Raw genomic sequence first — 13,978 nt, 5'->3', positions numbered from 1 at the left:
TTCTAAATTTAGACTGTTTCGTGACTGGTTTAGAAAACAAAATTGGGCATGTTTTAGATGAATGCTTTCAGACTCCTACAAATGAATTAATGAGTGGTCTTATTACCATATTGTAATACTTTTTTTTTTTTTTTTTTGAGACAGAGTCTCACTCTGTCGCCTAGGCTGGAGTGCAATGGCGCGATCTCAGCTCAGTGCAACCCCTGTCTCCGGGGTTCAAGCGATTCCCCTGCCTCAGCCTCCCGAGTAGCTGGCACTATAGATGCCTGCCACCATGCCTGGCTAATTTTTGTATTTTTCTTTTTCTTTTTTTTTCCTTTTTTTGAGATGGAGTTTCGCTCTTGTTGCCCAGACTGGAGTACAGTGGCGCGATCTCCACTCAGTGCAACCTCCGCCTCCCGAGTTCAAGCAATTCTCTCGCCTCAGCCTCGAGTAGCTGGGATTACAGGCATGTGCCACCACGTCTGGCAAATTTTTTTGTATTTTTAGTTTCTCCATGCTGGTCAGGCTGGTCTCGATCTCCCGACCTCAGGTGATCTGCCTGCCTCGGCCTCCCAAAGTGTTGGGATTACAGGCGTGAGTCACCGTGCCTGGCCTAATTTTTATATTTTTAGTAGAGACGGGGTGTCACCATGTTGGCCAGGCTGGTCTTGAACTCCTGACCTCAGGTGATCCACCTGCCTCAGCCTCCCAAAGTGCTAAGATGACAGGTGTGAGCCACAGCACCCAACATGTCATCCTTCTTTAATGGTTCAGAATTGCATTTAAAAAATCAGCTTGAGGTGTACAGTTAAACGTGCCACTTTTACATGTACAATTCTGTGACCTGTCCTTTGCACAAAAGCCCCTCAGTTCACCTCTGTACCTTGATAACCATTTGCTTTCTGTCTTTTTAGTTTGTGTTTTTTGCAATTTGATATAAATGGAATGATAAAATCCTTTTAATCTGACTCTTTTCACTTAATATGATGTTTTTCAGATTCTTCCATATTGTTGCTTGTATCAGTTAATTATTTTTCTCCCCTCCCGTCTCCTCTTCTCTTTCTGGACACAGAGTCTCTCGCTTTGTCATCCAAGCTGGAGTACAGCGTTAGGATTATACAAAGTAATTGTGGTTTTTGCTGGCAAAATGCGCAATTACTTTTGTACCAACCTAATAGCTCACTGCAGGCCTGAATTCCTGGGGTCAAGCAGTTCTCTTGCCTTAATCTCCTGAGTAGTTGAGACCGCAGGCACACACCACCACACCCAGCTAATTTTTGTAGAGGCAGAGTCTCACCATGTTGCCCAGGTTGGTCTCAAACTACTGGGCTCAAGTAATCCTCCTGTCTTGGCCTCCCCAAATGCTGGGATTACAGATGTGAGCCACTGTGCATGGACAGTTAATTCTTTATTTTTGAGTGGTATCCCATCTTACATATGTGAACATCAGTGTGCTTATACATTTCCCCTCTGGATGCACATTTGAGGGGTTTCCACTTTTTGGCTATTATGAATAGAGTTGCTGTGAGTGAGTGTGTAAAAGTCTTTGTAAAGATTATTTTTCTTCTGGATGATGCATAGAATTGGGATTGCTGAGTCATATGGTACATGTTTATTAAAACATTGCCGAATATTTTTCGAAGAGACTTTACAAAATATGGCTTAATTTTTTTTATATTCCCGAAAGGATTAATTTTTGAAACATATTTTCCTGGATACATTAGGCACACTCCCCTTAATTTAATAGTGTTTTGGTTTTTGTTTTGTGTTTTTTTTTGAAACGGAGTCTCACTCTGTCACCCAGGCTGGAATGCAGTGGTGCAATCTCAGCTCACTGCAACCTCTGCCTCCCAGGTTCAAGCAGTTCTCCTGCCTCAGCCTTCCTGGTAGCTGGGATTACAAGCGTGCACCACCATGCCCAGCTAATTTTTGTATTTTTAGTAGAGACGGGTTTCACCATGTTGGCCAGGCTGGTCTCGAACTCCTGACCTCAGGCGATCCACCCACCTTGGCCTCCCAAAGTGCTGAGATTACAGGTGTGATCCACCGTGCCCGTCCAATTTAGTAGTGTTTTATGAAGTCACCATCTCTTTCATACCTATTAGTTAAGGTATGCTTATGCTTAGGGTGTTAATGAAAGCTAAGGATGCTTATTTAAATGCAGATTCTTTCTTTTGGTTTTTTTTGAGATGGAGTCTGCTCTGTTGCCCCAGGTGGCATACAGTGGGGCGATCTCAGTTGCAATCTCTGCCTCCTGGGTTCAAGCAATTCTGCTGCCTCAGCTTCCCAAGTAGCTGTAATTACAGGCGCGCACCACCAAACGCAGCTAATTTTTGTATTTTTAGTAGAGACCGTTTCACCACGTTGGCCAGGCTGGCCTTGAATTCGTGACCTCAAATGATCTGCCCACCTTGGCCTCCCACAGTTCTGGGATTATATGCATGAGCCACTACATCCAGCCTATTTTTATTTTTATTTTTATTTTATTTATTCTATTTTTTTTTTTTTGAGGTGGAGTCTCTGTTGCTGGGCTGGAGTGCAGCGGCATGATCTTGGCTCACTGCAATCTCCACCTTCTGGGTTCAAGCGATTCTCCTGTCTCAGTCTCTAGAGTACCTGGGACTACAGGCGTGCATCACCACGCCCAGCTAATTTTTGTATTTTTAGTAGAGACAGTGTTTCACCATGTTGGCCAGGATAGTCTTTATCTCTTGACCTGGTGATGTGCCACCTCGGCCTGCCAAAGTGCTGGGATTTACAGGCATGAGCCACTGTGCCCAGCCTCTGTTTTTATTTTTTAGAGACAGGGTCTCGAACTCCTGAGCTCGAGTGATTCTCCTGCCTCAGCTCTCAAAGTGCTAGGGGTATGAGCCACTTACTCCTGGCCCTAAAATGCAGATTCTTGAGTCTCATCACCAAAGATTGAAACGTGGGTAATGTTGGAGAGCCACATGGTAATATGGCATCAAAAATAAGTTTTTATTAATGTATTTATTCAGTTACTATTTCTTGTGCTGTTTGTGGCGCTTTGCATTCACACGCCGTTGTGTTTCCCTATGCTTGCGGTAGATGCCAAGGCTTTTCTGGGCCCCTTTCTTTGCTCGCCACCTAGTGGTAACAAGTAGGAATCATCAGAAGTTTTACCAATGAAGGAGCTTCATACGAGGAAGGATAGAAAACATCCAAAGTCTGTTGGTGGCCAACCATATACTCCGTATATTTTTGCTGTATGAACAAATTCCCCTTCCTTTTGTATTTTTGGAAATACTATTTATTTGTGAGACAATACATTTTAGAACCTGTAAATTCTTAATCTTTCTCTTAAACTGACAGCTCATTTTTTTTTGCTGGAAAATAGTTAGGTGTGCCTAATTACCTTATTTAATGAGAGGTGCTTTCAGACCACACTAAATTATATTAGATAGTATATGAAGTCTTTCTCACTCCACCTAACTACCTTCTGGAGTCTTTGTATTGGCTCTTAGTTTGGTTTCCTTTACATGTTTTTGGCTTTTTACTCATATTAGTTTTGATGATTATGAAATTATTTTTGTTAAAATGTTTTTTTCGCAGTAGCTTGACAGAAAAAAACTACTTTGAAAGGAATATGTTAAGAAAACTTCAAATTTGTAAGGTCTGACTTTTCCTTTTCCCATACAGAAATGGTGGAGTCAATGAAGAAAGTAGCAGGGATGGATGTGGAGCTGACAGTTGAAGAAAGAAACCTCCTATCTGTTGCATATAAGAATGTGATTGGAGCTAGAAGAGCCTCCTGGAGAATAATCAGCAGCATTGAACAGAAAGAAGAAAACAAGGGAGGAGAAGACAAGCTAAAAATGATTCGGGAATATCGGCAAATGGTGAGATTGTTGTGCCATCATCCCCCCTTATCCACAGTTTGAGTTACCTGTAGGACGGTACACTTAAGATTTTGAGAGAAAAGGAGACTACATTCATATAACTTGTATTACAGTATGTTATAATGTTTCTGATATTGATCTTTGTGCCTGGTTTATAAGTTAAACTTACCCGTGGCTATGCATGAGGACAAAACATAGTCTGTATCAGGTTTGGTATTTTCCATGGTTTCATCACATCCACTGGCAGGTCTCAATGGATCCCTCTTGGATAAGGGGGAACTATTGTATTTTCAAGCAAAATGATGACTGTTTTTTAAAAAAATATGGTGGGTTGGCCAGGCGCGGTGGCTCAGGCCTGTAATCCCAGCACTTTGGGAGGCTGAGGTGGGCGGATCACGAGGTCAGGAGATCGAGACCATCCTGGCTAACATGGTGAAACCCCGTCTCTACTAAAAATACAAAACATTAGCTGGGCGTGGTGGCGGGAGCCTGTGGTCCCAGCTACTCGGGAGGCTGAGGCAGGAGAATGGTGTGAATCCGGGAGGCGGAGCTTGCGGTGAGCCGAGATCGCACTGCTGCACTCCAGCCTGGGTGACAGAGCGCGAGACTCCATCTAAAAAAAAAAAAAAGCACCCAAAAACCAATATATTGGGTTAATTTGTCTGATTCCTCTTTTTTTTTCCCTGAGGATTATTTAATGAAGTTATTTTACTTACTGTGGGTGTATATACATATATAAAATGTTTCTTATTGTAGGTCTTGTTAAAAAAAAGTTGGACAGCCATCACTGTAATGCAGCAGTTTTCAATTAGAGGTGCTTTTGTACTTCAGAGAACGTTTAACAATGTCTAGAAATACTTTTGATTGTCACAACTTCTGGAGGGTGTTCCTAGCATCTAGTGGGGTGGGGACTGGGGTGCTGCTAACCATTCTACTGGGCACAGCACGGGCCCCACAACAAACTGTCGGGAGTGCTGCTGTTGAGTAACCGATTCTAGTAGAAGAGACAGGCACGTAAATACAGGAAAGAACAGGGAAGAGAATTACAGGGCAGGTGGAAAGTGAGGTTGGTTGGGGGAGGGAAGGGTGGGGGAACCACAGTTACTGACTCGCCAGCTGTACTGGGCACTGTCCTGAGTAGAGAAATATTTTTGTTACATGTATTTGTGCAAGGTAGTACATGAAATCTTTAAAATGGCACTGGAAGGGGGAGGTATTATCCCAACTATGAATGCACAAACCAGGGTTTTGGGTGTTTGACATACCTGAGGTCACATAGAAAGTTGTGAGCTGGGGCCTTCCGTGGTGGCTCATGCCTGTAATCCCAGCACTTTGGGAGGCCAAGGCGGGCAGGTACCTGAGGTGAGGAGTTCGAGAGCAGCCTGACCGACATGGTGAAACCCCGTCTCCACTAAAAATACAAAAATTAGCCAGGCATGGTGGCGGGCACCTGTAATCCCAGCTACTCGGGAGGCTGAGACAGGAGAATCGCTTGAACCCAGGAGGTGGAGGTTGCAATGAGCCAACGTCGAGCCACTGCACTCCATCCAGCCTTGGCAACAAGAGGGAAACTCTGAATCAAAGAAAGAAAAAGTAAAAAATAAAGAGTCCAGATGTCCTGATGAGTCCCTAAATAGAAATAATAAGAGAAGAGGAACTGAAAAAGGAAGCCACGGGCCAAGAGTGGAGTGTTGCAATTCAGACTTCTAGTATGGAGCAGCATGGTCATGGGTGTGGACAAGTGAAAGTCTAGGAGTAGAGAGCAAAGAACTCTGTTGAATGGAACATGGCTGCACCATACCTTGGTGTGATCTCAGGTATTGGGTGGGTTTGCTGTAGATACTCAGTGAATCTGGGAGAAGGGTGTAGAGATCTATTGATGACAAAAACTGAGAAATAGAATGTAGATCATCAGCTTGTGAGGAGGAAGAGTTTGGAGTAATAGAGCAGTCATTGAGTATGCAAGGAGCTAGGAGAACTTAGAAGTCTTCCTTCTCCTAGACCAGTCTCTATTGGAAAAGCTGTCAGGGATGTCGTTTATTCAGAAAGTAGTTTTGCTTGGGATAAGGATGTGATTATAGAAGAAAAAGAGAGAATTTTCTGCAGTGAAACGGAGGTTCCAGGGGCACGGAGAGGACCCTCATGAAAGGTTCAGCAGTAGTGCTGCATGAGTTAATAGCAAACAGGAAGCAAGCTGAGGATGTGCGTTGAGAGGTGGTGTGCGTGTTCAGCATGATCAGTGGATAGAGATGGGTGGCAGTAGCTACTTTGGTAGATAGGTTTTCGGTGTTTTAATAGTTACGGATCTCTGCCACTAAAGGAATTGCCTGGTGAATGTTGTTAAGGATGTGAGTGCTGAAGGCAAACTGCCTGGGTTTAAATTTTGATTCTGTCCCTTGCAGCCTGCCTGGGTTCAAATCCTAGCTCTGCTTATTAAATTCTTATTTAATTGTTGATCTTAGAGCAATGTCTTTACGTTGCTACCTTGTGAAAGAAGGTAATTCATGTAATTGACCAGCATTTACCAAGAAGCATCAGTGTTCAGTTTTAGTCATTGGTAATTCTGTAGCTGTACTGTGGTACTGTGAAGGGGGTGTGGGGGCTGGCGTGTGTGCGTGCCTGCATGTGTGTGTGTAACAATAGGCAGCATGCAGAAGGGAAAAGATACTTTTTATAACCTAGAGGCAGCTTTTCTCTGCTTTTGTGTCAAGAAGGAAGAAGGGAGTTTGGAGAGGGATACAAATTCTTTTTAATACTAAGCTCTCTACCTCAAAACCAGAGATAGAATATGTAATAATTTGTAGAATTTCTAGACTTAATCTGATTTAAAAAAAATTTTTTTTTTTTTAGGTTGAGACTGAGCTAAAGTTAATCTGTTGTGACATTCTGGATGTACTGGACAAACACCTCATTCCAGCAGCTAACACTGGCGAGTCCAAGGTTTTCTATTATAAAATGTAGGTTCTATACTAGAAGGGAAAATGTAAGATTGAAAGTTGGTCCTTTTAGAACCATAACTTTGTTCTATGTAGGTTTTCAACTTTTATTTAAGAATAATTGTTCAATGTTAGAAGGATAGTTAATATTGTAATGAAAAGGTGGTTGGGCTATTATGAAAATGTATTAGCTTTTGCTTATTTATATTCTTTTGTTTTTGTGAGACCTATCCCATTCCCCTCCCCCAAACGGCATACATTTCACAGTGCTTAGTGTTATATATAGACATTTTATTTTATGATTAATAAACTGTCATGCCATTCCTTGGAACCACTTGCTTGTTTAATTCTGGTCTATCAGGTGATAATTTTATTAATTTTTAGAGGCTCCTCAGTTAATTTCCTGGGATTTTTGCTTATATTTAGTAATATGAAATGTCTAAGGAAAAAAATGAAACGAAGCCAGTTATTCCTGAGAGTGTTTAAAATTATTGAAGTACACCTAATTGTTACATATATTTTTGTCACATTTTATATAATATAGAACAATTTTAGCTTATTTTCCTTTAAAAATCGTTCCTAGTTTAAATTTTTTTTTTTTTTTTAATTTTGGTTTTGTTTTAGGAAAGGGGACTACCACAGGTATCTGGCAGAATTTGCCACAGGAAACGACAGGAAGGAGGCTGCGGAGAACAGCCTAGTGGCTTATAAAGCTGCTAGTGATATTGCAATGACAGAACTTCCACCAACGCATCCTATTCGCTTAGGTCTTGCTCTCAATTTTTCCGTATTCTACTACGAAATTCTTAATTCCCCTGACCGTGCCTGCAGGTAAGTTGTGGGGAAGAACAGCAGCGCTCAGCGTGAAAGTTAAGGGGGGCGCTGTTTGGGTTTTCCGTGTTGTTTCTTGGGCCTGTCTTTGTAGACTTGGCTGCATAGTAATTCTTTTGGCTCTTACTGAAACTACTTTGGATAGTATTAAAACAGACCTGTCTCAACCCACTAGCATAGCAGTCAGCATAATTATTTTGATGTGGGATATTTTTGTTGCTGGTAGATTGAAATCTAACATGTTAAAATGAGTAGAGGAAGGAAATGAGAGGAATTAGAATTATTTTAATTTTTGTTATATTAGTTTTCAGTCTTTTTTTAAATTTGAGACCATGTCTCACTCTGTCTCCCAGGCTAGAGTGCAGTGGCGCCATCTCAGATCACTGCAGCCTTCACCTCCTGGGTTCAAGTGATTCTCCTGTCTCAGCCTCCTGAGTAACTGGAGTTACAGGGGCCTGCCACCATGCCCAACTAATTTTTTTTGTATTTTTAGTAGAGACGGTGTTTTCACCATTTTGGCTAGGCTGGTCTGGAACTCCTGACCTCAAGTGATCCGCCCGCCTTCGCCTCCCAAAGTGCTGAGATTACAAGCATGAGTCACCACACCCAGCCAGTGTTCTGTTTCTATGGGCATGTTTTTAATAGTTACTCTCGTAGCAAACATAATTTTATATTTTCTGTTTTAGCATAAACAAGTTTCAGTCTTACTAATGTGTGTTAAACTGTTCCCCCATTTATACTTCAGCTTGTTCCCAGTTTTTGATAATGTAGATAAATATGTAAGGAATATTTATACGTACATAACTTTTTACTTTTAAAAAGTTGTGATAGCCTGGGTGCAGTGGCTCACGCCTGTAATCCCAGCACTTTGGGAGGCTGAGGTGGGTGGGTCACCTGAGATCAGGAGTTCGATACCAACCTGACCAACATGGTGAAACTCTGTCTCTATTAAAAATACAAAATTAGCCGGGTGTGGTGGTGCATGCCTGCAATCCCAGTTACTCGGGAGGCTGAGACAGGAGAATTGTTTGAACCCAGGAGGCAGAGGTTGCGGTGAGCCTCGATTGCACCAGTACACTGTAGCCTGGGTGACACAGTGAGACTTTTTTTCAAATCTCTCTCTCTCTCTCTCCCCCTCTCTCCCCCCCTCCCCCTCCTCCCCCCCTCCCCCTCCCCGTCTCCCTCTCTCTCCCCGTCTCCCTCTCCCTCTCGCCTGGGCGACAAAGCGAGACTTTTACACACACACACACACACACACACACACACACACACACACACAACAATTTAGTGGCACCGAATACATTGACAGTGTTGTGTAATCACCACTATTTGAAAACTTTCTCTTCACCCCACACAAAGCGAATTATAGCCATTAAACAATCAATAACTTCATTTCCCCTCTCCCTAGCTGCTAGTAACTTTTATTTTACGTTGTCACTATGAATTTGGCCCATTCTAGATACCTCATGTAAGTGGGATCATATAATATTTGTCCTTTTGTGGCTGTCTTTATTTCATCTAGCGTAATGTTTTTATCCATGTAAAAGCATGGATCAGAGCTTCAGTCCTTTTAGTGACTGAATTTACACAATTCATTTTATGTATTTTGCACACATTGTTTAGTCATTAAACTTTTGGTGGTCAGTGGGTTTCCACCTTTTCCCTATGGTGAGTACAATGCTGCTATGAAAATGGGTGCACTAAGTATTTGCTTGAGTCCTTGTATTTAACTTCACCTTGAGGTGGAATTGGGACTGAAAATTCTGTGGGTAACTTTTTTTTCCGGACAGGATCTTGTTCTGTCTCTGCAGTTGTGCACTCATAGCTCACTGCAGCCTTGGCTTCCTGGGCTCAGCCGATTCGCCTACCTGAGCCTTCCAAGTAGCTGTCACTAGAGGTGGATGCCACCATACCTGGCCTTTTCTTTTCCTTTTTTTTTTCTTTTTTCTTTTTTTTGAGGGAGAGCCTGGCACTGTCACCCAGGCTGGAGTGCAGTGGCGTGATCTTGGCCCACTGCAACCTCTGCCTTCCAGGTTCAAGCGATTCTCCTGCCTCAGCATCCAAAGTAGCTGGGATTATAGGCGCCTGCCACCATGCCTGGCTAATTTTTTGTATTTTTAGTAGGGATGGGGTTTCACAGTGTTGGCCAGGCTAGTCTCGAACTCCTGACCTCGTGTGATCTGCCCGCCTCGGCCTCCCAAAGTTCTGGGATTACAGGTGTGAGCCACTGTGCTTGGCCAGCCCTTTTTTTTTTTTTTTTTTAAGATGGAGTCTCGCTCTGCTGGCCAGGCTGGAGTACAGTGGTGCGATCGCAGCTCACTGCAACCTCCACCTCCCAGATTCAAGCGATTCTGGTGCTTCAGCCTCTCAAGTAGCTGGGATTACAGGCATGTGCCACCATGCTTGGCTAATTTTTGGGGGCATTTTTAGTAGAGACGAGGTTTCACTATCTTGGTTAGGCTGGTCTCAAACTCCTGACCTCAGCCTCCCTCCCAAAGTGCTGGGATTACAGGCATGAGCCACTGCGCCCGGCCAATTTTTAAATTTTTTTTGGGCTGCGTGCAGTGGCTCACGCCTGTAATCCCAGCACTTTGGGAGGCCGAGGAGGGCAGATCACGAGGTCAGGAGATCGAGACCATCGTGGCTAACGTGGTGAAACCCCGTCTCTACTAAAAATACAAAAAATCAGCCGGGCGTGGTGGCGGGCGCCTGTAGTCCCAGCTACTCGGGAGGCTGAGGCAGGAGAATGGCGTGAACCTGGGAGGCGGAACTTGCAGTGAGCCAAGATCACGCCACTGCACTCCAGCCTGGGCGACAGAGCGAGACTCCGTCTCAAAAAAAAAATTTTTTTTTGTTGTTTTGTTTTGTAGAGGCAGGGTCTGGCTGTGTTGCCGAAGCTGGTCTTGAAATCCTGGCCTCAAGTAATCCTCTTGCCTTAGCCTCCCAAAATGCTGAGAATACAGGCCTGAGCCACTGCACCAGGCCCTTTTGCCCATTTTTGAATTCATGTTTTTTTCGTTTGTTAAGTGTTGAGAGTTCATTATTCCAGATAGTAACCTCTTAGCAAGTAAATGGTTTGTGAGTATTTTCTCCTCTTCTGTAGGTTGGCATTTTGTTGTTGTTGTTGTTTTTTGCTATTGTCTTTTTCTTTTTTTTTTTCCCCCGAGAGGAGAGTCTCGCTGTGTTTCCCAGGCTGGAGTGCAGTGGTGCAATCTCAGCTCACTGCAACCTCTGCCTCCCGGTTTCAAGCGATTCTCCTGCTTCAGCCTCCCAGGTAGCTGGGATTACAGACGCCCGCCACCATACCCAGCTAATTTTTGTATTTTTATGTAGAGATGGGTTTTCACAGTGTTGGCCAGGCTGGTCTTGGACACCTCACCTTAAGTGATCCAGCCACCTCGGCCTCCCAAAGTGCCGAGATTACAGGCGTGAGCCACTGCACCCAGCCTATTTTAAATTTTTACAGTAAATATTGCAGTAGCAAAATGGTTTTTTTGCTTTTTTTTTTTATTTTGACGGAGTCTCACTCTGCTGCTGTGGCTGGAGTACAGTGGCGTGATCTCAGCTCACTGAAAGCTCAGCCTCCTGGGTTCAGGCGATTCTCTCGCCTCAGCCTCCCAAGTAGCTGGTACTACAGGCACCCGCCACCACGCCCGGTTAATTTTTTGTATTTTTTTTTTTTTTTTTTTGAGACGGAGTCTCGCTATGTCCCCCAGGCTGGAGTGCAGTAGCGCGATCTCGGCTCACTGCAAGCTCTGCCTCCCGGGTTCACGCCATTCTCCTGCCTCAGCCTCCCGAGTAGCTGGGACTACAGGCGCCCGCCACCACGCCCGGCTAATTTTTGGTATTTTTAGTAGAGATGGGGTTTCACCGTGTTAGCCAGGATGGTCTCGATCTCCTGACCTCGTGATCCACCCGCCTCGGCCTCCCAAAGTGCTGGGATTACAGGTGTGAGCCACCGCGCCCGGCCTATTTTTTGTATTTTTAATAGAGATGGGGTTTCCCTGTGTTAGCCAGGATGGTCTCGATCTCCTGACCTCGTGATCTGCCCTCCTCGGCCTCCCAAAGTGCTGGGATTACAGGCGTGAGCCACCGCGCCCGGCCCCTTTTGGTTTTTGTATGTGTTTTTTTTTGGTTTGTTTGAGGACAACTGCTTAAGCAAAGTAGGGTTTTTAAGTGAAAGCCTTTCAAAGTTTGAGGAAAGGGGATTAACTGATACATTGGAACTTTAATGTTGACTATTATAGGCATGCTTCACTGCGCTTGACTGAATTTTTTTTTTTTTTTGCATTTTTAGTAGAGACAGGTTTTCACCATCTTGGTCAGGCTGGTCTCGAACTCCTGACCTCAGGTGATCCACCTGCCTCAGCCTCCCAGAGTGCTGGGATTACAGGCGTGAGCCACTGCGCCCAGCCAATGTAAAAACATTCTAAATGGCTAGTTGAGTTTGTCCAGATAGGGATCGTAACTGAAGAAGCTGTGGCTATTTAGCTAATACTGGTGGTTGCACCTTTCCTTGTCAGACTCCAGTCTAGCTGTCCCACGTGTAGCTCCAGTTTAAAGTCACTCGCATGCCTTTGCTCATGCTTCTGCTTAAACCTGAAGTGTGTTTTGTTTTCTCCTTATCCATTGAGATTAGTTCAAATTTGACTTTCCCTTTAATTGCTCCTCCTTCTGGGTCCCTGAAATACTTTATTTGGAATAGCACTTCATTCTTCTTCTTCTTTTGTTTTTGTGCTCTCTTGCCCAGGCTGGAGTGCATTGGCACAGTTTCACCTCACTGCAACCTCCGCCTCCCAGGTTCAAGGGATTCTTCTGCCTCAGCCTCCTGAGTAGCTGGGATTACAGGCATACGCCACCATGCCCGGCTAATTTTGTGTGTGTGTGTGTGTGTGTGTGTGTGTGTGTGTGTGTGTGTGTTTTTAGACGGAGTCTTGCTCTGTTGCCCAGGCTGGACTGCAGTGGCGTGATCTCGGCTCACTGCAGGCTCCGCCTCCTGGGTTCACACCATTCTCCTGCCTCATCCTCCCAAGTAGCTGGGACTACAGGCACCTGCCACTGCTCCCGGCTAATTTTTTTGTATTTTTAGTAGAGACGGGGTTTCACTGTGTTAGCCAGGATGGTCTCGATCTCCTAACCACGTGATCCGCCCGCTTCTGCCTCCCAAAGTGCTGGGATTACAGGCTTGAGCCACTGCACCCGGCCTAATTTTTTGTGTTTTTAATAGGTTTTGCCATGGTGGCCCGGCTGGTCTTGAACTCCTGGCCTCAAGTGATCTGCGCGCACGCATCAGCCACCCAAAGTGTGCTGATTACAGGCATGAGCCACCACAGCCAGCCTCCTCCTTGTAAAATAGTTATGTATTTGTCTACCCTCCATTTCTAAATTTTTAAGTTGATGTGGACTTAGATTATGTCTCTTTTTTTTCTATTGGTATATCGTATCGTTTGTTGGACATAGTACACAGTACTCAGTAAGTGTGGATTTTCTTTTAAAACTGTAAATGGCTTACATAATCACATTTCCATGGCGTCTGTGTTGCCTTTTATTTTCTTTGCTTCCCTGCCTCCATTAACGTGAAATTAAATTTTTTTAAACTTTGAGGTATTGTCCAAGATTTTCTTTTTGCATTAATACTTTGTTAAATATCTCAACCTTGTAATCCAGCACTTTGGGAGGCTGAGGCGGGCACATCACGAGGTCAGAAGATCAAGACCATCCTGGCTAACACGGTGAAACCCTGCCTCTGCTAAAAATATAAAAACAAATCAGCCGGGTGTGGTGGCGGGCGCCTGTAGTCCCGGCTACTCGGGAGGCTGAGGCAGGATAATGGTGTGAACCCAGGAGGCGGAGCTTGCATTTAGCCTACATCCCGCCACTGCACTCCAGCCTGGGTGATAGAGCGAGACCCCGTCCCCCAAAAAAAAAAAAAAAAAAAAAAAATTTTTTTTTTTTTTTTTTTTTTTTTTTTTTTTAAAAAATCTTGGGGGTGGTAGTGTGTACCGTTTGTCCCAGCCACTCAAGAGGCTAAGGTTCGGAAGATTGCTTGAACGCAGGAGTTCAAGTCCAGCCTGGGCAACATAACGAATCCCTTAAAAAAAAAAAAAAAAAAAAAAAAAAAAAAAAACTAGGCTGGGCGCGGTGGCTCACGCCTGTAATCCCAGCACTTTGGGATGCTGAGGCTGGTGGATCACGAGGTCAGGAGATCGAGACCATCCTGGCTAACACGGTGAAACCCCATCTCTACTAAAAATACAAAAAATTAGCCGGGTGTGGTGGCGGGCGCCTGTAGTCCCAGCCATTCGGGAGGCTGAGGCAGGAGAATGGCATGAACCTGAGAGGCGAAGCTTGCAGTGAGCCGAGATCACG

General features: G+C 44.3%; 1 protein-coding gene across 2 annotated transcripts in view; it reads left to right on the top strand.

Moving 5' to 3' along the window:
- Positions 1-13,978, top strand: part of YWHAE (tyrosine 3-monooxygenase/tryptophan 5-monooxygenase activation protein epsilon) — a 55,948-nt gene that overhangs the window by 31,522 nt on the left and 10,448 nt on the right. For both annotated transcript variants that reach the window (NR_024058.2, NM_006761.5), the window contains 3 exons: positions 3,643-3,842; positions 6,693-6,799; positions 7,403-7,609. Coding sequence is in view for 1 of the 2 variants with exons in the window: in NM_006761.5 (NP_006752.1) it covers positions 3,643-3,842; positions 6,693-6,799; positions 7,403-7,609 (514 nt within the window). In the remaining variant the exon portion in view is untranslated. The remainder of the gene's footprint in view (positions 1-3,642; positions 3,843-6,692; positions 6,800-7,402; positions 7,610-13,978) is intronic.

Source organism: Homo sapiens, chromosome 17 (assembly GCF_000001405.40).
Source record: "Homo sapiens chromosome 17, GRCh38.p14 Primary Assembly".
Lineage (NCBI taxonomy): Eukaryota > Metazoa > Chordata > Mammalia > Primates > Hominidae > Homo > Homo sapiens.
Note: the sequence above shows the minus strand (reverse complement) of the source record. Positions and strands in the feature narration are given on the sequence as shown.